General features: G+C 44.0%; 2 annotated features.

The window, feature by feature from the left end:
* Positions 3,096 to 3,597: an enhancer, noted in NCBI's record as "NANOG hESC enhancer chr2:220726091-220726592 (GRCh37/hg19 assembly coordinates)". NCBI's record gives its function as "activates a minimal SCP1, AML or CMV promoter by ChIP-STARR-seq in primed H9 embryonic stem cells {active_cell/tissue: H9 hESC(primed)}" and the evidence as "EXISTENCE:reporter gene assay evidence [ECO:0000049][PMID:30033119]".
* Positions 12,388 to 15,820: an enhancer, noted in NCBI's record as "VISTA enhancer hs1507". NCBI's record gives its function as "enhancer in: limb[3/5]" and the evidence as "EXISTENCE:transgenic organism evidence [ECO:0001131][PMID:17130149]".

The following is a 27,592-nucleotide window of genomic DNA, read 5'->3' as shown; positions in this document are numbered from 1 at the left end:
GTATGGGCTGGGTGGTCCCTAAGTGCCTATTCGTCTTCCTTTTAGCAGCTGTTCATGTGTATGACCATAGGTTGGCAGAGACCCATTCCTCCAGAACATTTCAGCCTTTTGAAAGAAGACTGTCCAAGACCAAATTCCTTCTCTCTTCTCCTGAGCAGTGTACCAGCTGATATATAGATCCCAAAATAAAGAACTGCAGAAGAACTTGGCAATATCTTGGTCTCTCCATCATTCCTTTCAATGGATTCCACTGCCAAGTGGAATCAATACACTCACTGGTGTCTGCATAGCCGCCTCACTAACCTGGCCATGCAAGGAATCACATCAAAACCTTGCCATGTTACAATGCCTTTCCCCAGATGATGCTAAGTTGGGCCGTGCTCCTGGTGCACACATGAAGCATCATTAAATATCATGACAGGATGTGAGCAAAACATCAGGAGACTTCAGGGATCAAAGAAGCCCAACACAGTTGAAAAGCAGCTCTTTAACGGGGGGGTGGGAGCAGGAAGTTTCCCTTTGTTAAACAGCAGCCCTAATGACTTCTCCCTGCTTGCCTCATAAAGGCTGCCTAATTATATCACATATGTCTGCACCTCTCATTCAAGGCCTCCTCGGTGTCTGGGTCCCCTACTGTCAACCTCATAGCCCCTGAGGTCATAAAAGCCAGGGGAGTCAGCTGCTGGAGATCTGGTTTTGTAGCTGGGTTTTCTGGCTTTGGTTGGACATACAAACAAACTCTCATTATATTTTGGCAGTCAAACCAGGGAATGAAGAGTAACAGTCCTTCCTCAAATGAATACCTGTTTGTTTCATCTTCTTTCAATCTTTTGGAACCACCTAACTGATATTTAAGATTAAAGGTGGCACCTCATTTCCAAACAGGTCTAAAGAGACCCAAACTGTATCTCAGCAGTGGGCAGACCATAAATCCAATTTTTCCATTCATCTTGTATCAAGATGGAAACTAACTGGACTCCAGGCAGTCTCAAGGGTGCCACAATAATCCCTGAAGGCAACCGACATGGCCAGACCGGCCACACCACATCCTCAAAGACCTCCCTCTTCTGGGTCCCTGCAGAACATCTGCTATCTGGATCACTCATTTTGATACTTAATCAGACACACCTTTGCCCTGCGGTTTATCTATTCTTGCATATGTCTATCTCTCCCCAACTTGATCCAAAGCTACTTATGAGGGATTCATTTGGTTGGTTTGGTTTGGCTTGGTTTTGGTATACCTCTTTTGGCTCCAGTAGGAGGTTTTGCAAATAGCTGATAACAAATGGATGGATGGATAGACGGTTGGGCAGATGGACGAAAATAGGCACTGCCATGTTCCAAATCATTAATTACTATTTTGAGATGTGAATCCCCAGCCTCCCAGGTGGGTTGTGTGGTTGCTTTGATCACATCTGCCATATCTGAACCTTAGTTCGGAGGAGCCCTCACCTTAGGTTAATTTATGCCACGGGAAAATTGTCTCCCTAGTACCCTGGTATTGCACACTGCGGCACCTCATGAATATTCCAACCTCATAAATCTGAACTCTGACCTTTGGAAAAGACACATGAAAAACCTCCCCGGCAGAAGTTTTTTTTTAACTCTTATGCACCCTATTTCTTCGGGCCCCCTTGTGGCCCATTGCCACCCATTATAACTGCTCCCAATATTTGGCCACCGGCTTTGGGGACAATGCTCTGTAAGGGGCAGCGTTGCATGGTAGGCATTGCCCTTTCGGAGTCAGAGAAGTCTGAGTTTAAAACGTGACCCTCCCACTTTCTAGTTGTGGGGCTTTGGGTGAAATACATGACAACCTCTCTGTGCCTCAGTTTCCTCCTCTGCAAATTAACCCCCCTCATTCTGCCGTTGTGAAGGTTTAAGGAGACAAGGCACATACGAACTAGCGTGCAGCAATTTGCTCAATAAACAGCCACTATTACTGCTATTCCCTGATGGTACAGCTTGTTCTTCAGGATTCACAGTGACTAAAATGGCTGCCCGCCTACAAGTAATGCATCCAAAGCACAAACACTTGATACTGAAAAATATATATGCACATAAACATTTACATATACGTGAAGACAAACCAGCTAGCAAGCATCAGACTTTGTATTAAAGAAGTGTCCAGATGCAGGGTGTTGTCAAGATTTGACTGCCTGTCCAAAATGGTTCTGATTTCCGCCCCTTCATTGGGAAAACAAAAGACAGTCATGAGGCCGGGCACAGTGGCTCATGCCTGTAATCCCAGCACTTTGGGAGGCCGAGGCAGATAGATCACCTGAGGTCGGGGGTTTGAGACCAGCCTGACCAACTTGGAGAAACTCCATCTCTACTAAAAATACAAAATTAGCCAGGTGTGGTGGCGCATGCCTGTAATCCCAGCTACTCAGGAGGCTGAGGCAGGAGAATCACTTGAACCTGGGAGGCAGAGGTTGTGGTGAGCCGAGATCATGCCATTTCACTCCAGCCTGGGCAAAAAGAGTGAAACTCCATCCCAAAAGAAAAAAAAAAAAAAGACAGTCATGAAAGCTGACATTTAGTTTTACTTTGGGAAGGTGGGTAAGCCCCACTCCATTCCTCCCCAGCAACAAGGCAACTACTTCACTCTGTGGGAAGTGAGAAGGGAAGATGCAGCCTGATGCTGCCAGTTGTTATTGTTTGTGATTCTGCCTCAGTTTTTTCCTCTGTGAAATGGGACCCTGGATATCTTGTTTCATTCTTGCATAGCAGCTGGGCACAAGAAAGACCCTCAACAAATGCTTGTTGAACTGTTGCTGGAGGCAGGCAGCTGATGGCATGTTTTCTGGCACTATATAGAACTTTCGGGCTGGGCAGGGTGGCTCATGCCTGTAATCCCAGCACTTTGGGAGTCTGAGGTGGGCGGATCGCCTGAGGTCAGGAGTTCGAGATCAGCCTGGCCAACATGGCAAAACCACGTCTCTACAAAAAATACAAAAATTAGCTGGACGTGGTGGTGGGCGCCTGTAATCCCAGCTATTAGGGAGGCTGAGGCAGGAGAATCGCTTGAACCTAGGAGGCAGAGGTTGCAGTGAGCTGAGATTGTGCCACTGCACTCCAGCCTGGTCAACAGAGCAAGACTCCATCTCAAAAAAAAAAAAAAAAAAAACTTTCTGACTTCAGTTTGTTTGAACATTTGAAAAGATGTCAAAACTCCAGCTTCTTTAAGGTAAAGTTCTGGGTAGATTGATTGGGTGGGGGCTGTAAAAATGAGGAGACAAGAGAATGGAAACATCTGATGCTGGGATTTGCTCCTGAGAAGAAACCATTTAGGACTTTGCTTGTTGTGTTTGACAGGTTACTGTTGTTAGGCAATCACAAAGGTGCCCCAGTATGTGGTCCATTTGGGAACAATAAAAGAAATATAAGGGCCAGAACTTGCTCCAAGAAGAACATTTTTAGTTTCTCCTTTGAAGCCAACATTAGATTGTTGGCACTGGAACTAAGAGCTGTCTCAATCTGGAGCTATGTTTCATCTCGAGATGCAAATTCATCCTGCAAATACACACATAGCTCTTCACGTAGGTGCAGCTTGTGCTGTGCAGCTCCGGGGCTGCATCCCCAGAGGACTCTGGGAGACCCCCTCACTGCTGTCTGGCTGCCTCCTTAGCCACCCATAGGGGTGTTTGGTGTCACTGCTCCTTGGGTAGCCTGATCAAATGCTGGCCTCCAGCTATGCCACTATTACCACCTCAACATAGAACTATGGACGTTTAACCAACTTCTTTCCCAATGCAATGTCACTCTGGCTGATGGTCCTATGGTGCCTAAATGAACTCATCTCTTGACAGGGAGCTCATTTCTTTGCAACCAAGACCATTCTATCGTTGAGTAAGTCTGACTAGATAATATTTTTGATACTAGGGTGAAATATGCCACCCATTAATTTCTACTTATTGGTCTCAGTTCTGCCCATGGGAATACTAAGACTACAATAAATGAATATCTCAGAGTATCAAAGGATAATGACTTTACCACAAACCCCAATTTTTTCATCTTGAATATAAAAATCAAGTTTCAAAATCCATATAGCTCTCCTCCCATTCTATTCCTCTCTTTTCCTTTATTAGCTTCCTTCCTTCTTTCCCCTTTCCCTACCTGACTTCCTCCCTCCCTTCTTCCTTCTTTTTTTCCTTTTTTCATCAAAGCACCATTAGGCAGGCCTAAATGAGATAGTGGCCCTGGGAGATGCAGACACACCCTGGTGTCAGGGCCCACACGCAAGGGAGGCAGGAATCAGGGAACTGAGGGATTAACTATGTAGAGGGAGACTGAGCTAAGAGCCAGCTTTCTTACAATCAAAAAGGAAGGTACAAATATAGAAAGGAAGAAAACTAGAATGTACCTCCTGATGTTGGATTGGAATTGGAAGCATCGGTATGAATTCATGGAGTTCAATATATAGAAACAGATTATGTCTATATTATATGAAATATAGATGTTAGTTTATATATATTATATAATGTGTAACTCCCTACCTCTACCCATCGATAGGGCCCGAGAGCAGTGACATCCCACTAGCAATGAGCACATCTATTACCCGAATCTTCATTTCTAAATATAATTCTTCACTAAAAGAAGCCAGGGCTTCTTGGAGAAATCATTGATTCCAGGGCTGGGGCAGAGAAAGTGGAAGATGAGCCTGGAACATCTAGTGCTGCCAAAAAGTAAGGAAGTGCTTCAAGAATGATGGGGACGTGTCAGAAATATAGGAGCCAGTTTGGATGGGCTCCCAATGGCCAAATCTGGAAAACTTAGAGCATCAAAATAAATTATCATACTAACAGATTATAGCCATTGAATAAAATTGAAATCCATAAATCTATACATAGATAGATATTTTTATATGAATAAATAAATGGGGAGAAGGAAAGCTTTTCTTTGTAGTAGAAAGACAACTACTAAATGCAGAAGGAGCCACGACATTAGAAATTCACCACTTGACAACCACCATAATAACAATTAATTCAGGCAGGAAACATCAAGCGAGGCTAAACTAATGGTTTAAGGTGGAGAGAGAGATGGGATTTTACACAGTATCAAAATACCTCCCACAAGACATGTATTAAATGCCAAGGTGGGAGGATGGTATCTTTACAGCAGAGAAATCTGCAGACACCATTTTAGTCAAGGGATCAAAGTTAATACTACCAGTAGCGGGTCAAATCCACATCGTGTACCTACCACCCATAGATTTCAATGGAAAGAACCCACCATTCCTGATATTTTGACTCAAAATACATAACTTTGGTCTCATCAAGAGGAAACAAGGAACCAACACAAATTGAGGGACATTCTACATAATAACTTTCCTGTTTACTTCAGAATTTTCAGAGTCATAAAAGTCAAAGAAAAACAGAGGAACAGTTCCAGATTGAAAGAGCCTAGAGGGACACAATGACTGAGTGCTACCTGTGACCCCGGCACGGATCCACTGCTATAAAGGATGTCTCTGGGACATCGGCAAAACTTGAGTGGGGTCTCAGGGCAAAGGATGTACAGGAGTTCTTTGTACTATTTCTGCAAATTTCTGTAAGCTTAAAACAGTTTTAAAATAAAAATTAAAAATGTATGTACACAGTAATCCAGTGCTTTTTAAAGTTTCCCCCTTAAGAAAATTCTCTCTACCTAATGATACTTAAAATCCATCAATATGATTTCTACCCACTCCCATCCTCCTGCTTTCTCAGACTTAAAGTTTTGAACTTCGTTCCGAGCAAGTGTACCTTGGAGAGAGAAGACTTTAAGCCAACACTCATTTTCAATAACGTTTCCCAAAGTAGCTTTGTTAATTGGTATTAAGGAAAAGAAATTTGTGTGCTCAAAGAAATTCTGAAAACATCATTATGCAAAGTTTCTTTACAGCAGAACTCCTCAGAGCCTTTATGAGATTGATGTGTATTTTAAATTCACTTGAAGAGAAATAGCATTTGGAGTTACCTGATCATGGCACCTTACATTCCAAAAAACACATTTTAGAAAATACTGGCTGACAGATTCCAATCAGTAGCCAATAAAGCATTGACACTTTAGATTCTGGTGTAAGATGGCCTGGGTTCAAATCCTGGCTGCCCCACTTAGTAATTGTGTGACTTTAGGCAAGTCAATTAAATTCTCTGTGCCTCAATTCCTTCATCTGGAAAATTGAGGTAATAAGAGTTCTTACCTTGGTGTTGCGGTGATAACCAGAATGATAATAAAGATAAAAAGTTTAGCACAGTGCTGGGCACAGGTAAGAATTCAATGCATGTTTGCATGGCATGTTTTGATATTCCTTTATTATTCTTTCTTGGGGGCCTGTTTGGACTGGAACAGGGCCTTTGTGGGTGGAGCCATTAGAGAATGCCACCAAGGTCAGGAGAGGACCAAATGGGCTGCAAGAACTAAGAAGCTGAGGTACTCAAGGCATACTCCTCGGACATCCCAGCTTTGAGAGTGTTGTTGTCCAAGCCCTCTTTCTACACATCCATGTAGACACCCCCAGGAACCCCAGTATGCTATAGGGGCAAAGACCTAGACAGGGCGAGGCTGCTCCATCATTTACCCAATCACAGAGAACCTGTCTTCCCAAGGACAAACAAAGTGCAAGAAAACACTTTCCCCTTTGCAAATAACTGTTGCTACTTTCCTCTCTGTGGACATGTTCAACTGGTCCACTGAGTTAGCACCCCACCAACTGTCTCTGGCCCCTCAGCCCCGCTGTCCTTTGCCACAGAGAGGGAGGAGGGGTTTGGAGAGTGTGGCTGCCTGCCAAATGGGGTGACCCAAGCTGGACCCCATGCCCCAGAGTCACCACAGAGGAGCTGACCCAGGGGGGCTGTCAGCTCACCACAGACAGGCTTCACAAGCGCTTCAGAAAATGAAAAGCTTTATTAAACTTTCAAGCCCAGAACAGATGTGTCCTGACATAAATATTCAAAAGAGCCCATCTGTTAGGTAAATCGTCTTTCCATGTAGTAACGAGGGACCGTATATCAGTAAGACCCCATTGCTATGAGAGCCCAGGAGTGCTGGAAACCCTGCAAACAGATGCTCCTGGTATTCCAAATAAAAGCAGCCTGAGAAGGAGAGGAAACTCAAGCCAAGACCACAGCCAGGGGGCATTTCACTGCTATGCCAATCAGGGCCTCTGCCCCACCAGCAGCCCCCAGACAGGTGATGTCAGTGATGGAACTCCAAAGGATTGAATAGGCAGGGGGATCAAGAGAAAAACCAAATCCCCCCACAAACACCCTCAAGCTAGGTTTTGGTTAGAGATGTTAAGGTTCCTCCCTGGACTGCAAAAATGTACTTATCCTCCCCCAATCAGTTAATGCCTTAGGCAAGGCACTTCACCATTCTGCCGGGGCTTCCTCTTTTGAAAAATTTAATATTCTCCAATGAACATTGTACGGTGGAAATAATAATAACAATAATGAATAGCTTACACTATATAGCCTTACTACGTGCTAGGTACTGGCTCATTTAATGTTCCCAGCACCTCTCTGAGAAAGATACTCTTAGTATTCCCATCTTACAGATGAGAAACTGAGACACCGAGAGAATGAGTGATTTGCCCAAGGGGTCAAGGCTGGCAAGTGCTGGACCAGGACTTAAACCCAGGCAGACCACTCCAGGGGCTGAGCATTAGCCACCACCATGCTAAAATGGCACAAAAATAAAAGACAGAACTGCTTCCTACCGGGGAGCTCACACTCTAATGTAGAAGAGTGAAAGACACATTAGAAGATCAAAGAAAGCACACAAGCAACTGCTTGACAATCCTGCTTCACAGAATAAAATATGGTGCATCCGTAGTGAGGCGCTGCTGAGGAGGGAGGACCTGGCCCCCACTTCCAGGCTAGACCCAAAGTCCTTGGTGTTAGCTCCCAGACTGGTCTGCCTGCTCCGTGTTCCCTCCGCTCTCGTTTACTCCCTTTGTCCTGCATACATTTGTGTTGCCCTCTGTCTGCATGGCTCACTGGCTCCCTGCAGCACCATCCCCCCTACTCCTTGCCAGGGCACAGTCTTCCCAACAGGCTCAACTCTCACATTTCCCAAGTCCTAAAAAATTCAGCCACCCAGCAAGCTAGCCTCCCTCTTCGGAAGTCTTCCAATAACCGTCAGGTGCCCCACTCTTTCTCTGAACATGTTTCCAGTCTTGCGCAATTAGTTAACCCATAGGCTGTTCATGGGTAGCTAAGCTTACTGTAGCTAAGATATTCAAGTGCCTAACATGGGCTCAGCTCTGCACACACACCCCCCTATGCTCCAGTTACACTGAGTTTCTTCTCACCCTCCAAGAACACACTAAGTATCATTATAAAAATTATATAATTATAATAAGAATAATTTCTCTTTGTGTCAAAGAAGACTTTTTGCGTAAAGTATAACATTCCAAGCAAAACAAGTTTATGCCAAAAAATATAAAAGGAAATGTATTGACTCAAGTAACTGAAACGTTCCCTGAAAAGCCGTGGGGTGAACCGGTACAGCTGAATCCGAATGCCCCGTTAGGATCCATCTCCTTCCTGCCAGCCCTCCCACTAGCCATGTGCTCAGGATATCATACAAGATGCCCTCTGCTGCTTCAGACTCACTTCCCACTAATCTACCAACCCCAGCAGACAGCAGCGTCCTCTTCCTAGTTCCAACAGCCTGTGGTCAGGCACCATCTCTGAACCAATCACTGCTGCCTGGAGACTCAACAGTCTCATTGGCCAAGATGGGGTCACATACCCACCCTTGGGCCCCATAAGGAGGGGCAGAGGGAGCAGCCCCACCAATATGGACTGACAGTGGGAGAGATGTTTCCCCAAAGGGTATTCTATTCTGAGTTACCAGAAAAAGGGTGAATGAACACCAAACAGGTGTAGAACACCACATCTAAAACAACCAAAACTCATATCCACTAATTCAATCTATTTGGTGAGTGCTTCCCATGTGCCAGGATTAGGCTAACCCTTTCTACGAATGAAGATTAAATAACATACATATAAAGCACTTGGCCCAGGCTGGGTATATAGTAGCTGCTTGGTAAATGGCAGCTACTGGAGACTAGGTAGGTTCTATTATTATCTCCATTTCACAGAAGGGGAAACTTGGTTAAAAGAGATTAAGTCATTTGTCTCAGGCCACACAGCTTTGAGAGGTAGAAATGCGAGTGTTCAGAGCCTACTGATGTCTACTTCCATCCCCAGCTTACCTGGGAAACCAATCAAGATCCAGTTCAGACAGAGTACAAAAGATCCTTCCCCTGAATCTTGTACATCCCTCTATTACGGCACCAAAGCCCCATATTGCAGCACTTTATTTTTTCCATTCTATGATGTATTGTATTTTTCATATTTCAAAGTTTCTGAAATGAAGGCTCAACATTCATTGTGTATAATTAAAGTGGTAATCTTTTTTTATCCCCAAAATCTCCTTTTAAGTTTTTTTTATCCCCAAAATCTCCTTTTAAGTTAACACTGCATCTTACAATCAATCCATCTTTCTTTTTTCTTTTTTCTTTTTTTTTTTTTTTGAGATGGAGTCTTACTCTGTCCCCCGGGCTAGAGTGCAGTGGTGCAATCTCAGCTCACTCCAACTTCCACCTCCCAGGTTCAAGCAATTCTCCTGCCTCAGCCTCCCCAGTAACTGGGATTACAGGTGCTCACGACCAAGCCTGGCTAATTTTGGTATTTTTACTAACGACAGAATTTCACCATGTTGGCCAGGCTGGTCTCAAACTCCTGACCTCAAGTGATCTGCCTGCCTTGGCTTCCCAAAGTGCTGGGATTATAGGCATGAGCCACCATGGCTGGCCTCAATCCATCTTATAATCAAGGAAATGCGGCATATGTTTCTAGGTCTAAAATGCAAGCTCCTTGAGAAGAAGCTTATTCATCTTGTGACCTAAACACTTAGCTCAAAGTCTTTCATTGTGTGTTGATTAATGCAAGGAGTGTTATTCAAAGAGATGTGTCTTTAACATTCATTCATTCAACAAATATTTATTGAGCACCTATTACGTGACAAGCCAGGACATAGGAATATAATGTCAAACAAACCTGGTGAGGTCCCTGCTCATAATATCTTTGTCGTGTCTTAATAGGGATAGACAGGACTTGGAGGGGCAAGGGGAGAGCCGTGCCCCAAAGCTAGCAACCTACGTCCTATGAGCCAAGATGAGAAGCCAGAAGGTTGCAGAAGATGAGGGTAGTTAAATGTAAGTTTACAAAGGTCTTCAAACACATGCTGAGGAGTTTAAATTAAAGGTAGGAGGCAAATGGGAGCTCCTGCCGATTTCTGAATGGACGAGTGACAAAATCAAAATAGCACTCAGAGAAAATTAGCCTAGCTGTTGGTTATAGAATGTACCAGGAGGGGTGAGGCTGCAGGTGAAAACACTCTCTAGGAAGGCGGCTGCTCCAGAAATCAGCATGTGAGGAGATCAGAGCCTGGACTCTGTGGGAGGCTTGGCTGTGTCATTGGCTGGAGAAGGTCAGATCCCAGAGATAGAATTGCCAGCCCATTCTGAAAGGAACAGTCTGAGAGAGGAAGCAGTCAAAGGTGACTCCAAGGTTGAAGGCTTGGGAGGCCAGGATGCCCCTAGTGACCATGGACACAGGAGATGCCAGATGCTTAGGAAGACAGATTTTAGGTGCCCTTGGGAGACACAGGCAAAGAGAGAGGGTAAAGGTCAGAGCCAGGGAGGAAGAGCGAATACAAACCACATCTACTAAATCAAGGGTGCCAGAGATGGACCTACCTGTCCAGAAAGCAGAGAGAAATGCTTTTCCCTTCTGGGTCCAGGAAGGCAGCTCCATAACCCGTTTCTGACTCCAGAGAGGAATAAGAATAAACTCACTGCTTAGATCTTTGTCTTAAGTTGAGTTGACAATTAGGCAGAAGACCCAGGCTAGGAAACAGCTAATTGACATAACCTTGAGTCATTGCAGAAGCAAGATAATCAGTGAAGACTGATTAAGCAGGAAAATAAAAGGCACACAGCCTAAGGTCAGACAGAGTCCAAAAGTTCAGCCTCCAAATCTACAGGGAAGTTTATTGTCCTCCTATTGTCACATTCTTAGAAATTCTCATTAAGGGTCTTCAGTGCTCACTTGAATCTTTGGTCATACTCTACTGCATTTTATGGGGGAGGGAGGTTAGGCTACAGAGGTATTTTTGATTCCGGTGACTCTCGGGACACACGCTTTCCAAAAGGTAAAGAGGATTCAGGAGGAGGTGAACTTAAAGTACTTCTACAATGCCTGGTGCATAGTAAGTGTTCAATAAATGTTGGGTCCTGAAGATGTGTTTGGCTCCATTAGGGCCTATAAGAGGAAAAAAAAAAAAAAAAAAAAAGCACAAATACTGATACCTGCCCTGAAAGAGACATATGAAATTAATAAACCTTGCATTAAAGAGCCACAGGTGCTCCTTAGAATAGAAATAAAGAAGACCCACGTCTCTTTTCTTCTACCTTTGTGATGGTGACTGGGCTCTTCCTGTAAAATGTTTAATGCATCCAACTACTAACAGGAATTGGCATCTTCCAGGGTTATTTACCTTCCAGCTTCCTGGCATTTGAGGCCAGACAGAGCTGACTGCCCTTCTGTCTCTCTTTTGATGGCCCAGGCAGAGGCAAATACAACGGGGCATCTCTTGTCAGACTTCCTCTGAGTGTTAGGGTACTGAAAAGAAGGTGGCTCATTAAGAGGAGAGGCACTGAACCCTGGTGTGTTGCTGGTGGGAGTGTACAATGGTGCAGCTGCTGTGGAAAACAGCACGGCAGCGCCTCAAAAAATTAAACATAGAATTACCATGTGATCGAGCTATTCCAATTCTGGGTATATACTCAAAATCATTAAAAGCAGGGACTCAAACAGATATTTGTACACCTATGTTCCCAAGAGCATGATTCACAATAGCCAAAAAGCGGGAACAATCTAAATGCCCAATAACAGACGAGTGGATAAACAAAGTGTGCTATAGGCACATAATGAAATACTCTTCCGTCTTCAGAAGGAAGGAAATTCTGGCACGGGCTACCACATGCATGAGCCCTGAAGATGCTGTGTAAGTGAGATAAGCCAGCTGCAAAAGGATAAATACTGCATGATTCCACTTACACGAGGTACCTAGAGTGGTCAAACTCATGGAAACAAAAGTAAGGGAGGCTGAAGAGGGGAGAACGCGGAGTAATTAACGAGTATAGAGTTTCGGCTTGGGAAGATGAAAACGTTCCGGAGATAGATGGTGGTGATTGCACAGCAACGTGAATGTACTTAATGCCACTGAACTGTACACTTAAAAGTGGTTAAAATGTCAACTTTTACGTTATGTGTATTTTACCACATTTACAAAAATGTTTTTAAGAAAGGAGTAGAGAGGCATTTATAAGAGTCAAATCTTGTGTCTGGCTAATAACGAGAGTAGAGATGGGAGGAAAAGCTGCCCTCTCTCCTGGATCTCAGCTTTGCAACAATTTCAGAGTCAATGCCAACTTTCTAGGTTTTTTACTCCAACCTCTGCCGAGTTGATTAGTCACCTCTGTGCACGTTCCTCCCCAAGGTGGCCTCCGGCCCCTACTGGAACACTGCCTGAGTCAGGACGCTCCTCCGCCTCCGGGCTGCCATTAACTTTCAAACCCTCTCCTCGGTGACAGTTCTTCATAGCGGTTCCCTTTTCTTTCCCACACTGCTTAACCTTCCCTTAATCAGATTCCTGGGAGGAAACTAATTAGTCCAACCCCCCTCTGCTGTTTCCCCACAAAACACAGAGACTCCAACCGTTTTATAGGGGATGTGACTAGACCAGTGGGCACCTGTTTTTCTTTACACTGTCTTAAAGCTGGGACGCCTGGGGAGCTTCTGCTTTAGGCGGACTGCACAAGCTGTGAGAAGGGCGAGGTGCGGGAATTTGCCTCTGGCTTGTGGGTCAGCGGCAGTGTGGGCGCCAGTTTGGGGAATGCCCTCAACTCTCCCCTTAGGTGGCTCTTGGAGAAGACCCGCCGGGTACGCAGAACATTCCTGGAACACCGGCCTGCCCGCAGCCACTGAGAGTGACAGCACCAGGAGCCCAGCCAAGACAAAAACGAAAACACTTGGCTGTGGAAAGTCTCCCTGAGTCTCCAGCTGCCTTGATCAGACCCTTAAAGAGAAAAACAACAAAGATGGCGCCTGTGCCAAAGGCAGAGGCACCCACTGCCCACGGCGACACACCCTGCACCTGATACCAGGACACTAGCCAGTTCCCCTGTCCCCCTGCAAGCGAAGCCAGCAGGTCAGGCTCACACCTTCCCTAATCAGGACAGACCAGCGCCCCCCGCCCCCGCCCCGACCCCCACCCCCACCCCCACCCCCACCCCCACCCCCACCCCCACCCCCAGCACCAGACGCAGGCAGCCAGGGTTAGACCACCAGGCTGCTTTCACACAGCTCCAACTTGGAAGGTCACAGCACTTTGAAGAACCTTTGGTTTTGGGGTGGGGAAGATGACCCGGCTTTGCCATAGTTAAAAACCTAGCACCTCCAGGTGTTAGCTTTTGTTCCTACTCTGCACCTCACAAGGATTTGAATGGTCAGATTAGCATAGTCCGGACCTTGAAGAGACCCCCTACAGCAACTACTCCCACTGATTCGTTTTGTCTGTGAGGCGGAGAAAGGAGGTTCCCAGCCCGGCCAGTGAGGGGCAGAGCAGGACTGAGTCCAGGCCTGGTGGGGTGGGTTACCTACCTCAGTCTGCATAACTCGTCTACAAACACCCCTAACCACTCTTTTCTATTTTTTTTTTTTTTTTTTTTTTTTTTTTGAAACGGAGTCTCACTCTGTCACCCAGGCTGGGGTGCAGTGGTGCGATCTTGGCTCACAAGCAACCTCCACCTCCCAGGTTCAAGCGATTCTTCTGCCTCAGCCTTCCTAATAGCTGGGATTACAGGCACCCGCCACCACCGGTGGCTAATTTTTTATTTTTAGTAAAGGTTGGCGGGTGGGGGCGGGGGGGTGGTAGGTTCACCATGTTGGCCAGGCTGGTCTCGAACTCCTGACCTCAGGTGATCCAACTGCCTTGGCGTCCCAAAGTACTGGGATTACAGGCGTGACCCACCACACCCGGCCCCTAACCACTCTTGAAAGTCCCTTCACATCTGTTAGTTCTTTAAGGATGAAGGCTGAGAATTAACCTTGTTCCCTATTCCCCGAAGTGTCTGACCCAGTGCTGAATGTGTGGTCGGAGCTTGGTGAATTCTTTCCAAATAAAGGAATTCCCACAACAGCCCCACGAAGGACTTGAGGCAAGGATTAGGATCCCCACTTACAGAAGAGGAGGACAAGGCCCAGAGAAGATCCCCCAGACTCAGCCAGGGCACGAGGGGTCGGGTGAGTTTTGAGATCGATAGAGCCTTCTTTCACTCTCCTGTGACGACATGACAGTAGATAAAAAGCATATACCTTCATGCACTCTCATGGGCTCTGGCACCATGTTTAGAGTCGGGCTAGGGTTCTTTGCAATCTGGTAACCTATGGCTTAAACTTATACCCAAACCTCTCTTCCTGCTTCTTGTCTGTGCACATCCTCTTCCCATCAGACCATCCATAGCTCAAGCTCAACAGCTTTCCCAGCTAGTGTTCCTCCTCCCTTTTCCATGGAGTGCAGGAAGCAAGGCAGAATTCCTCATCTCTGCCTTAATGTCCAGTTCACTTTCCATCTTCCCAAGTATTGTTAGTGCCCCTTCAAACAAGAAAGGACAGGTAGTCATGTTTGTAGGTGGCATTCAAGAAGCAATAAGTTGGTTTATACATGGTTGTCCAGATGGCCACATTCTGTTGATAGCTCTGACATGGAACTATCTTTCTCAGCAACAATAACATTCCCAAAAAGTATCAGCCAGAAAACAGCTAGCCTGACGGCCACAGATGGCCTCAGCACAGAAGCAAATTCATGTGTCTAATACTTTGGGGAGCTGGGCTTTAACAAGGCAGATTTTCCTCTTCATCTTTACCTGCATTTTCCTTCCCACAGATACCTCCATTGTACTAATCTCTTTCCTCTCTAAAAGTCTATGGACCTCAGAAGAGATATTTGCTATTTCCTTTCTCCTGCCTACCTGGAGGTTGGTTAGCCCCCCATCTTGATTTGTCTTTAATACTCTCTCTGGTCCCTATAAACTAGGGTGGGACCTTTTTACTATCAAGAGCCACTGTCCCATGGACGAGATCAAAAGCCACACATGCACAGCCACGTACAACTGACTTTATTGCTTGGCTTGTTTTGGAGAAAATAGAAAATTTGCAACTTGCTCCATTTTTAAATTATGACTAGAGAACATGAAGCTTTATTTTCAGTAAATAGAGCCCACCTGTAGCAACTATATAAGATAGGGTGGCATATACTTTGTTTTCTAATTTAACTTTCTCTTTATTCCCTCCATTCCAATTTCTGCAGCTATTTATATTATTCTATGGCATATATGTGTGTGTATATCTCAAATCATTTTATAAAGTCAGTATGTAAAAAAAAATTTAATTCGTGTCACAAATAATAAGAAACTACCATGTTGTTTTATATATATATATATGAATGTATATATGGCTAATGAAAGGAAAAAGAAGGTGGGGAGGGAGAGGATAGGTGGGAAGGAAAGACAGAAAAACAGTGAGTGAGCAAAGGGGGAAGGAAAAGAAAGGTTGTGATGGTAGAAACCAAGGCTTATTCACCTGCTCCTCCTGATAGCTAACACAGGAGTGCACACATGGACACACAAATGTGCACAAACACATGCACACACACACACACACTTACATCTTCCCATTGGGTAAAATTCTCCCTCCTGCCAGCTGGTTCTCTGCACCTAACAATAAGAATTGCTACTAATTATCGAAGGCCTGCTATGTGACAGTTGCTATGCATTTATTATTTACAGTCTTCCCCACAGCGCTATGAAGTGGGAATTTTACCCAGGAAGAAACTGGGCTCAGAGACATCACTAACTGCTAATATTACATTGTAGTGGATGTGAGCTGTTTCTGTCAGTCCAGGATCCATTTCCCTGTCTTGGGTAACAAAATTTCACTTTTCCTTTGGGAAAAGTGGCCACCCGGCATACTCTATCCCACAGCCACCAAGACTGGTTTAGGGGCGAATATGTGATTCCACCCAGGCCAGTGAGATTCAAATCTGAGAATTTAGTTCAAGCTACTCAGAAAGAAGATTTCTTCCCACTGGGATTGAAAATGAAGTAACATAGGAGGTGCTAAGGGTAGGGAGACAGAAAGAGACTGAGGCAGAGGCAAGAAAGGCTTCACAAGTCCCTTGAGTTCTTGAACACAGCAATGGCTGCTCTTCCCAGTTTGGGGAGCCAAGAAATCCCTCTCCCCTTTGAAATTTTTTTCAAACCAGTTTGAATTCTGTCACTTGCAACCCAACAGGTCCCAACTAATATTCCTCGTGTGTGAGCAGCAGATTCAGACCACAGCCACCTTCCCCTAAGCACATGCACTCCCTCTCCCCCAACACTGCTGCCCCGGAGCATGGTGGGCCAGGCAAGCCCACCATCCTGCTCCATCCCCTCACCTGGGAAATCCACACTCCTGGCTACTGCCTCCCTCTACTCCAGCATCTGCCAGTGCCCATCCCTTCCCTGGAAAATGCTGTCTCAGAGCAAAACAAAGAGTCCTCGAGCGAGGGCCTGGCACAGCTAGGTTGTGAAGTTGACACCCTGATGGGGCACCTGAGGCATTTGAACACACATGTCCTTGTGCTCACTGATTATAGCAGAAAGGGCAGGAATGTTGAAAAGATCAACTTTTCTCAAAGAAATTGAAACCAAGACAAGAGTTAGATCAAGCTCAGGATCCAGGGCTTCCTGTCGCTGGCATAGAGATTTCTAAAGAGGGGAAAAGTTAATGTTAACTCAACCCAATACTGTGGTCCAGTTTAAAACAGAGGCACAACCCTAAACCTGAGATCTAAGATATAGTGGGAGCTTCTAAATCATCTGATCCAACACTGCCCAGAGCAAGAACCCTACCACAATGTCCCTGAGCAGTTCTAATTATTAACCAATTCTTTCTCAAATGATAAAAATAAAAATGATTAATGTAGAAGAAAAGGTGGAAGAGGGAAAAAAGGAGCCCACAAAATCAGGGTGATGGAAGCAACTCTGGGTTTAGAATCAAAGTGAAAGAGAGAAAAGTTTGATGGGTTGAGGAATATAGAGAATATCAGAGATGGGGAAATGTTTAAGTCTTACTGTACATTAAAAAATATATTTACTTCCCTTGATATTCTTTCCAGAGATATCAGTATAGTTTTCATTTAATTTAATTGCTTTTGGTTGCTGGACTTGTGTTCCTTGGAGTGCAATTCTCTGCCAAGGCTGGACCACATGAGGCCCAGTTTGGGGTTGAGTTATATCAATTTCAAATCTACTTCCTTGTAAATCTCACCCAGAATGTAAGGAAGGGATGTAGGGATAAGACATAGAACCAACCATGGAGTACAGGATAGAGACTTAATTACGAAACGGCTAGAAATGAACTTACCACAAGCAGAGCCTGTGATCAGAGAGGGACTAGCTGGAAGAATGGCCAATTTGATGGTGAACCACCTGAGCTAATTAAATTTCGTAAGGACACCACTGGTCCCAGCAACTACAGACTGAATCAAGTATGAGAAGAGGCAAGCTATGGAGATGGGACCCATCAGGTCGTCAGAATATGGATCTGTCAGAGTCACTCATTGCAAGCAACAGAAGCTGACTCTGGTGGATTAAGCAAAAGGAGTTTATTAAAAGGGTATTGGACAGCTTATAAACTCTTTGGGTAGGTTGGAGAAACAGCTCTAGGCTAAGCTTTCAGAAATGACATTTAACACCATGCACAATGATACAGGATTTACCTGGTTAAAAAAAAAAAAAAAAAAAAAAAGCGTGTGCCTCCCACACTGATACCACCAAGTCCTGAGTGCATATATGACTGTGACAGACCATCCCCTGCCTGGGTGAAAGCCACCCACATCTGCTCTGCAAGTTTGACATGCAGCCACTGCCACCCTCCCCAGACCAATGGAATCCACACTAAGCCTGTGTTCTCACACTGCTCATGTCTGAGCCAAAGTCTACCTCCGTGGCCTCTAATGGATAGAACTGAGGTCACCTGCCTGTGCTCTAGCTGCGAAGGAAGTAGGAAAATTACTTTTCAGATTTCTGTCTTGAGGAAATGAGGCTCTGTACTAGTTTGTTTGGCCTTTCGTTATAAAGTATCACAGACTGGGTGGCTTAAACAACAGAAATTTATTTTCTCACAGTTCTGGAGGCTAGATGTGCCAGATCAAGGTAGGGTTGGTTTCTTCTGAGACATTAGCTCCTTGGCTTGAAGATAGCCATCATCTCCCTGTGTTTTCACAAGGTGTGATGGTCAATTTTATGTGTCAACTTGACTAGATCAACAAGTGCCCAGATATTTAATTAAACACTATTCTGGGTGTGTCTATGAGAGTGTTTCTGGAAGAGATTGACATTTGAATAGAATTAAGATTTGAACTCAGTAAAGCAGATTGTCTTCCCAGTTTGAGCAAGCATTATGCAACCCCATGAGGGCCTGAATAGAACAAAAGGCAGAGGAAGGGAGAATTTACCCCTTCTGTGTGACTGTTGAGCTGGGACATTGGTCTTCTCCTATGCTTGGACTGAGACTTATTCCATCAGCTTTCCTGGTTCTCAGGCCTTCAGACTTAGATTGAACCACACCACTGGCTTTCCTGGGTCTCCAGCTTGCAGACAGCAGATCCTGGGACTTCTCAGCCTCCACAGTCATGTGACCAATTCATTTATATATATATATATAGTGTGTGTGTGTGTGTGTCAAGAATTACTGGAAATCAAAAAAAAAATTAGTGCACAGCAGCTTGATAACAACAACAAACAAATGCAACATTTCATTATTTCAGTTCACTCCAGAGCTTGGCAAATTCATGTGGCATAGTCTGGTTTGAAGTTTACCACTGGTTTAATTAAATCCTTTTGGCTTTCTGCATATCCAGGCTTAGACTATTTTTCCCACTGCTCCGTATTTAATTCTGTCCATTTAATAGTAAAGTAGTAACTTGCATTTGAATTTAGCTTTTAATGTATAAATTCCTTTTGCATTATCACCTACTGTTACCTTCACAGCACTATGAAACTTTGTACCAATATTTATCGAGTGTCTACTATGCCTGTACATGTTAATATGCTCGTACACTCATTGTCACAGCAATGCTGCAGAACAAGTATTAATTTTCCATTTTACAGATGAGAGAACTGAAGCCCAAAGAAACTGAATGACCTGCCCAAGGTCACATGGCTAGTATTTGACAGAACCAAGCCTCAAAGCAAGGCTTTCTCCCTACGAATGCAAGGTTCTCTTCAATGTACCTGGCTATCTTCTACAAGGCAAGACCAGAAAGGATATACCAAGAACATTGACAGTTGGAGGAATCTTAGAGGCCCTCTACTCCATCTTCCCCATTCTATAGACAAGGAGGCTGAGACCAGCAGGAGCAAGTCACCTCCTGAAGGCCACACAGCCAGTCAGTGGCAAACTGGGATGAGAGTCCAGGTCTGCCATTGTCCCGATCTGACATACATGAGTAACGTTCATGACAGTTAAGGGATTTGGAGACCAGAGCCTGAGAATTAGCCAGGACAAAAACCCACCTTGCCCTCCTCCTCATCCTGCCTCAACTGCCTCCTTCATTTCTTGGTCAGCACTTTAACTTCTGGACACAGATAAAATGCTGAATGTCACAACCTGGAGCACAGGGCAATCGACTGCCCATGGAGTGAAATTTGATACAAGAAAAATAGGAGGAAGAAAGAGGCTGGCCATTAAACTCTTCACCCTTTATTTCTTTTGTGGACGACTCTGAGATGTAGTTTCTCCTTAATACGTGGTTTCTCTTTCCAGTCCTTCCCCAAAAAGTCCCACTACCAAGCAAACACACCTGCTGAGTGACCTGCCGCATCTGTGTTTTGTTGAGGTTCATTGAGAAGCAATGACCAGTGTAATCATGCTTTGCATACTGGCGTTTCACATCTTGCCTCACTTCCTTTTTTTCCTCATCCTCACAGCCCTAAGCCTGAACCTCCCAAATAGTGTCAGCACTTTAGCCCTTGCTTGCCTCAGGCTCTTCTTTCAGAGAACTCTAGGCTAAGACAACCATTATCATGATTCCCAGCTTTAATCCTTATGCTACCACTTTCTAACACTAAATGTTGCCTTTTCACCTCTTAAAAAAAAATGTAAGTGCTTATTTCTCCCTGGCCCTGAAACTCAATTCTTTAGCCACGCTCTTGACTGCTTCCCAGGAAAGCTGATATAATTCCCCTCAGGGACTCAGCCTCCTCCCGCAATGGTCCGCATTCATAAATCTTCAGTGGCAGTTATGAAGTCTTCTTCCTTGACTTGTTTGACATTATAATTCCTTGCCCCTAAACTCCATAAATATCTATATTAAGATCCTCTTAACTTCAGGAACTATTCATCATCTTTTCTTTTTCTTTCTCACTTTCCCTTTTATTCCTCCCAATCTCTCCTACTCACTCCCTTACTCAAGTAACTTTCCCATCATAGACTCAAGGCTTTCTCTCATGCCATTTTCTTTCTTTTTTCCTAAGGCTGCTAAGCCCCCCTCTCCAGCTTTTCAAGCATTTATTGAAATTTCAGCTTTCTAAAATGTATTCCCTAAAAAATATTAATATAAAAAAATGTATGGCTACCTCCACTGCTCAATTTCAGGGTTAATAGGGTATGATGCTGTGCATATAACCCACACCTGGTGCACCTGGTACTCCCACAGTTCCCCAGATATACTTGTCAGAGTATTTATCACAGAATATTATAATTGATAAAGTATCTATCTTCAGGTCAATTGTGGGCACCTTGAGTTTAAGGAGGCTGTCTTTGGTATTTTAGTTTTTCTAATATGTAGCACATAATAATAACGGTTTAATGTTCATTGAGTAAACTAACGAATGAATAGAAACATTTTACTTATATGATCAATTGCTGCTGCATCAAATTCCAAGAAATCCATTCAGATTTGTTGGTTCTCTGGAATAGTTTTGTATATCAAATACTGATTAAAAGACATGAGATACCAATTAGGAATTTGAAAAGCTATTATATCCCAATGGAAAATGGGAAACAAAAGTCATAGGCAATGCATCAAAATAAAACCATACATTGCTAGTAAGCATGGAAAGATGCTCAGCTTCACTAGGAACAAGAGAAAGGTAAATTAAAATGAGATATGGGGCCAGGCACGTTGGCTCACGTCTGTAATCCCAGCACTTCAGGAGGCCAAGGCTGGCAGATCACTCGAGGTCAGGAGTTTCAGACCAGCCTGACCAATATGTGGCAAAACCATCTCTCTACCAAAAATACAAAAATTAGCCAGGTGTGGTGGCGTGTGCCTGTAATCCTAGCTACTTGGGAGGCTGAGGCATGAGAACTCGCTTGAACCCAAGAGGTGGAGGTTGCAGTGAGCCAAGATTGCACCACTTCACTCCAGCCTGGGCAATACAGCAAGACTCTGCCCCCCAAAAATAAGATTTTTTTACCCATCAAATGGGCAGAAATTAATAAGAGGAAAAATATTCAATGCTGACAGAAGTGTAGGCAAAAAGCCCTCTCGTGTATCCTTGGTGGAGTATAAATTGGCACAGATTTTTGGAAGGGCAATTGGACCATATATCAAATTTTAAAATATATGTACATTCCTTTTGATGGAGCAATTCCAATTTTCAGAACTTATTCTACTGAGAGACCAGCAAAGATATCTACACAAGGGTGATTATTAGAACACGGCTTATAATAACAAAAATAGGAAATATTTTAAATATTTGTTAATAGAACAATGAATTATGAATATTTGTATCATAAAATATTAAATAAGAGATTCAAAAGATAAGGTAGAGCTTTTCTCATAGAATGCCTGCCAAGAGATGTTGTTGGGAGAGAGAGAGAAGAAGGTCACAGAATAACACATATAGTATGATCCCATTTATGTGAATAGAAACAGCCTATGTGTGTATGTGTGTGAATGCACAGCAACCAACAAGATCCAGAGAAAAGGGAAAGGAACTAGACATAAGGGGAAGTGGTCACATGGGTTAAATTCTTTTCATTCTTTATGCTTCTGTGTTGTTTGAATTGTTTGCAGTGAGCATATGTTCGCGTACTACTTTTGTAAGTTAAAGAGATGACTGACTGGTGTTACGTAGATATCAACCTTGTGTCAATCCTTAGATCCACTAAACCTGGGAGCTGAAATGAGCCATAGCATCATCTATTTTCCAGGAGGTTGTAAATTACTTCCCCTAGGATTCCACAAACACACCTACGTGGGGTGGAGACCACACTTAAACCCACTGCACATCACCATGTACTTCCAGGAGCTCCTGTTCGTGCAGTCTTCATACCAAAGCTTCTCCTGCCTTCTCTGTTTAACTAGACTGAGACTACAAAATGTGCTATTGAAAACAATTACCATTTGCAACTACATATGTAGATAAAACAGGAGTTTCTTATTGATGTACATCCAAAATAATTTGCAGAATTAAATTTAATATGTAAGCCTGGATTGCAAATGTTATCCAGCATCCTAATTTCAAATGTTTACATTCATCAAAATAGCCCCCATTGTTCTCCATGACTGAGTTTACAATAGACAAATTAATTTTTAAAATCCATGCTAATAAAATACCATTTATTTCATGTTGAAGTCGATATACGATTTTGTTTTTCAAGAGAAGAAACAAACAAAGGTTTGAAAACCACAGTTCCAATCCCACTTGCTCATCTTTCAGATAAGGAAACTGAGCAGAAGTAAAGGTGAGTGATGATCAAGATTTCACCATTCATTTATCAGAGCAAGGCAGCCCAGCCCTGAACCAGAGCTTAGCAGTAAGTGCTCAGTAATGACCTTCCTTGACTGCAGTGTGCTCTTTTCACACGTTACCTGATCTAATCTCACAGCAAGCCAGTGTGGTAAGGGTTGCGATATTGCCAGTGAGATAAATGAAACTCTGAGATGTCAAACTTTTCCCGAATTGTACAGCTAATAGGTGGAGTGGCTCAGCCTCCAGAGAGAGAGACCTCTTCTCACCACATCCCTGGGCCAGATTGCTACAGGCGGTGAGCAATCTCTAGTCTAGATTATAAACTCCTTTAAAGCAAGTACTACATTGCCATTTCCACAAAGCTGCTAATAAATCATAGAGTCACACACACAAAAAAAGACACTCACTAACTAGATCTACAATCCACAAAGATCTACCCATCACCCACTGTGTGCCTAGCATGCGTTCAGTGCAATGGACGCATTGAGAAAGAAGATCCCACCATCGTTATAAAAATGTACGTCTATGCTGCCGTAGTCACGGTTCCTGGTTGCATAAAATATAAACTAATTTGGTTTAACTTAAATAAAAATGAGTTCATTGGAGGGATTGGAGGGATTACTAGGAAGGCTAGATAATGCAACTCTGAAAACAGGGGGAAACAAACAGAGGCTAAACAGGCAGAACAACATCCAAAATTATGCCATGGCAAAATCAGGCTACAGACACCGTGCACCACGCAAGGGCCCCACCAACTAGAGACACCATTTGCTGCTATTGCTGCTGCTGGAGGAGATAATTCTAAACTGGCCTCTGTTTTATTATGACTCTGAGTCAGTCTCAAAAACAAGCATTTGATTGGCCCACCATAGATTACAAACCCAAGCGTAAATATCTAATTGGCTTAGCTAAGGTTGCATGCCCAAGAACTGCCAGTTAGTCCCAGTTAGTGCCAAGCTGGGAGAGAAAATTTCTACCATCCTCTGGCTTGCACTGTGGGAGATGGGACATGCCTTCCTTCATGTATTAACTATCTATTGCTATGCAACAAATCACCCCAAAATTTAGCAGCTTAAAACAATAAATATGCATTCTCCTACACAGTTTCTGAAAACTGGGACTCTGGGAGCAGTTTGGCTAGATAGTTCTGGCTCAGAGTCTCTCATGAAGTTGCAGATAAGAAGCTGGGCGGGGCTGTGGTCATCTAGAAGCTTACAGAGGCTGAAGGATGCACTTCCCAGGTGGTTCACTCACATGGTCAGCTAGTTGTTGGGAGAAGGCCTTGGTGCCTCACCGTGTAGACCTGTCCAGCAAGCTGCTGGGGTGCACTCATAACACGGCAGCTGGTTTTCCTCAGAGCAAGGGATCCGAGACAGCAAAGCAGAAGCCACAATGTCTTCTATAACCTAGCCTCATACTCACATACCCTCACTTCTGCCATTTGCTATTGGTCACACAGAATAACCCTGGCACAACGTGAGAAGGGGCAATACAAGAGCATGAAGACAAGGGACAGGGGTCAGTGTCGGCTTTCTCAGAGGCTGGCTAGTGTACTTGGATTTCTCCAAAACAAAGAAAGGTGTTGAGACTGGACAGCCTGTAACAGTGAATATTCATTGCTGGTACCTCCTAGGTACAAAGCCTGCCCTCTAGTTGCTGACACTTTGAGAGAAGAAAACACTAATAACATAAAATAATGTTTTCTCTGGCCGGGTGCGGTGGCTCACACCTGTAATCCCAGCACTTTGGGAGGCTGAGGCGGGTGGATCACCTGAGGTCAGGAGTTCTAGACCAGCCTGGCCAACATGGTGAAACCCCATCTCTACTAAAAACAAAAAAAAAATAGCCGGGGGTGGTGGCAGACACCTGTAATCCTAGCTACTCGGGAGGCTGAGGCAGGAGAATCACTTGAAACCAGCAAGTGGAGGTTGCAGTGAGCCGAGATCGTGCCATTGCACTCCAGCCTGGGCAACGAGAGAAAAACTCTGTCTCAAATAGTAATAATAATAAAGTTTTCTCAATTTAATATAAATAAATGTCAAATTATGTACATTCTGGGTAACATCATTCACTACTTTGAGTTATGTAAAGAAATGGAGATAAGATAGCACTAAAGACAACTTTACTATTCTGCTTGGACTTGGGCTTAGAAATAACATTCGCACATACAAAGCTGAGATTCAAGAGAAATATATGTTTCCATTTTTAGTGTGTTCCTAGGTGCTCTTTGTTCCTTTGGCAGCAATAACCCCAATAATTGGGGAAATACATTACCTACTGAGGCATTCCAAATCTTCTAAATCAAGCTCATTAGAGTCCACTGCTTTCATGATGGACTTTTCCATATCTGATAGCAAATTAAAGACAGTGAAGATGTTTGAAAAGCTGGCCAGGCCTAAGGTACAAAAGCAGAAAGCTTATTATCCTTCCTTTCTCCAACTCACTTTCTTCTTAGGCATGAAACACCCAGCCCCATCCTCTCCTGAACTTGACCAGTTAGCTTTACTTGTTTCTGTTCTATTCCCCTTGTCCAGTCCAAAATTTCGGCTCCAGTACATTCCTTTTATTTCCTTTACTCAAGAATGAGATTGCCTCAGCCTGTCCAACATGGTGAAACCCCATCACTACAAACGATACAAAAATTAGCCCGGCATGGTGGCACACACCTGCAATCCCAGCCTCTCAGGAGGCCAAGGCACGAGAATCGCTTGAACCCAGGAGGCGGAGGTTTCAGTGAGCCGAGATCATGCCACTGCACTCCAGCCTGGGTGACAGAGCAAGACTCTGTCTCAAAAAAAAAAGAAAGAAAGAAAGAATGAGATTGCCTCTACACATTACCAGAAAGTAAAATAAATGGAAAAAAAAAAAGAAACCCACAAACTTCTTATTTGTGTTCCTACTCAAGACGACCAATGTCGTTCTTGCAATTCTGAGCCAAGTGCCTAAGACAGAATGGAGTCCTCTTTAAACATGAGGGAATCTGGGGTGCCAGGTGAACTAGACTTCGCGACATTCCTAGCCTACTCTAAGCAAGAAACAAAACATGTAAGTTTCCCAGCAAACCAATGTGCACATGACAAGAGCTGTAATCAATAAGTAACTTGATAAAGTGGATAAAAATTGACTCGTGGGGAGTGAAACATCCTATTAAGCAAATTCAACCCAGACCACTTCAACCCAGACCACTTTCAGTCAGCCATACCAAGCTGCAAAACTCAACAACCAAAGTCTTTGTGGGAGAAGCTAGATCAATATTTTAAACCCAAGCTCCTTAACGTTGTACTACCAGCAAACCAGGGGGGGAAAATCATGATGCCTTCTAAATCCAAAGACAGAAAAAAGGATGGGGAAAGCAGGGGAGGGGCCAGAAATATGTAGGTTGTAAGTTACACGCAACTCCCAGGGAATAAATCTGTCTTTCCTGAACTACACAAGTGCTTAAATCCACCAGTCCAGCCGCAAGCGACCTTCATGAATACTGAAAGAGGAGAAGGAAATATTCAGGTCGCAAATTTATCTGATTGAAAGGCAGCAACTAAGTGAAGCCTGCAAAAGTTTGATTTCTTTTTCATTAATATTGGGGGAGGAAAGAAAACACTCTGAGATGCCAGGCACAGAGGAAAGGGAAGCATTGCCTGCTGCAATTTTTTTCAAATTGCATGAATACCATCATATAAATATTTTCATTTGTGAGGAAAGTGCGATTCTGTGTAAAAGAGTTCTCATGAATAAGTACCAAGCATTCAAAGCAGATCTCCACTGGAATTCCAGAAGCATTTCTGCTGCCCTACCTGAGCACCAGCCTCTTCTTACCCAGCCACAATAGCCAATCAAAAAAGCAATTCTCAAAATTATAGTCTGCTGACAGAGGATATCAAAGGGCTAAGTTTTGCTGTGCTTTGATTGGATTCCAACTTATGGGGACCAGCGAACATCTACTCTTATAAGGCTCTGACAAAGAGATGAAAAGAAACAATGTCAGCATGATCGCCAGGGCAAATTATTTTATAGCCATTTCTCCTCCACCTTGGTCCCCATCCAAAAGAAATCACCTAATCAAAACTACTTCCAATTGTTTTCATTTGCAACTCAATTTTCTGTGAACTCATTGAGGGCCTACTATGTGTAGAGCACTACAGGGTATGTGGGGGCGGGGGAATGCTTATGACAGGTCCCTCAGTCAGGTGACTCCAAAATTATCCAGTGAAATCCGGGTGAAAGAGAGGCAGCTGGTAGCTCCTAGAGGCCCCTTGCAGATGGGCAGTGGAGGGTCAGCCTGCCATCGGACATCGCCATTCAAACCCTAGGTGTTTGTAAACGTGGCTGAGTAGAAATGGCAAGGGCTTGAATGGGAGTCCAAGTCCTGGCCATGCCACTGGATTTTGGCACGATACTTAATGTGTCTGGGCCTCGGTTTCTTCATCTGTAAAATAGAATAATACCTATATCATGGGGGTGTGGGGAAGATTAAAGTCATAGGTAGAATGCTAGGAAAGTGCTCGAAGCCAAGTAGGTGCTGAGTAATGGTCAGCTACTTCTCTTTTCATGAAGAAAGTCGTTAGCAAGGGCTCAAGGCTGGCACAGAGAAAACATGAACTCTATTCTCCCCGACCTCATGTCTGGTACAAGGACACCTGGAACAATAACAAGGCAGACAAGCTCTCCAGCCTACTCTGGCCCTGTCAGCTCACCTGCTCACTGCAGCAAGGCTGAGCAGAAAGACAA

This window comes from Homo sapiens, chromosome 2, assembly GCF_000001405.40.
Source record: "Homo sapiens chromosome 2, GRCh38.p14 Primary Assembly".
NCBI lineage: Eukaryota > Metazoa > Chordata > Mammalia > Primates > Hominidae > Homo > Homo sapiens.
The sequence above is the reverse complement of the archived record's forward strand: the minus strand, read 5'-3'. Positions and strand labels throughout refer to the sequence as shown.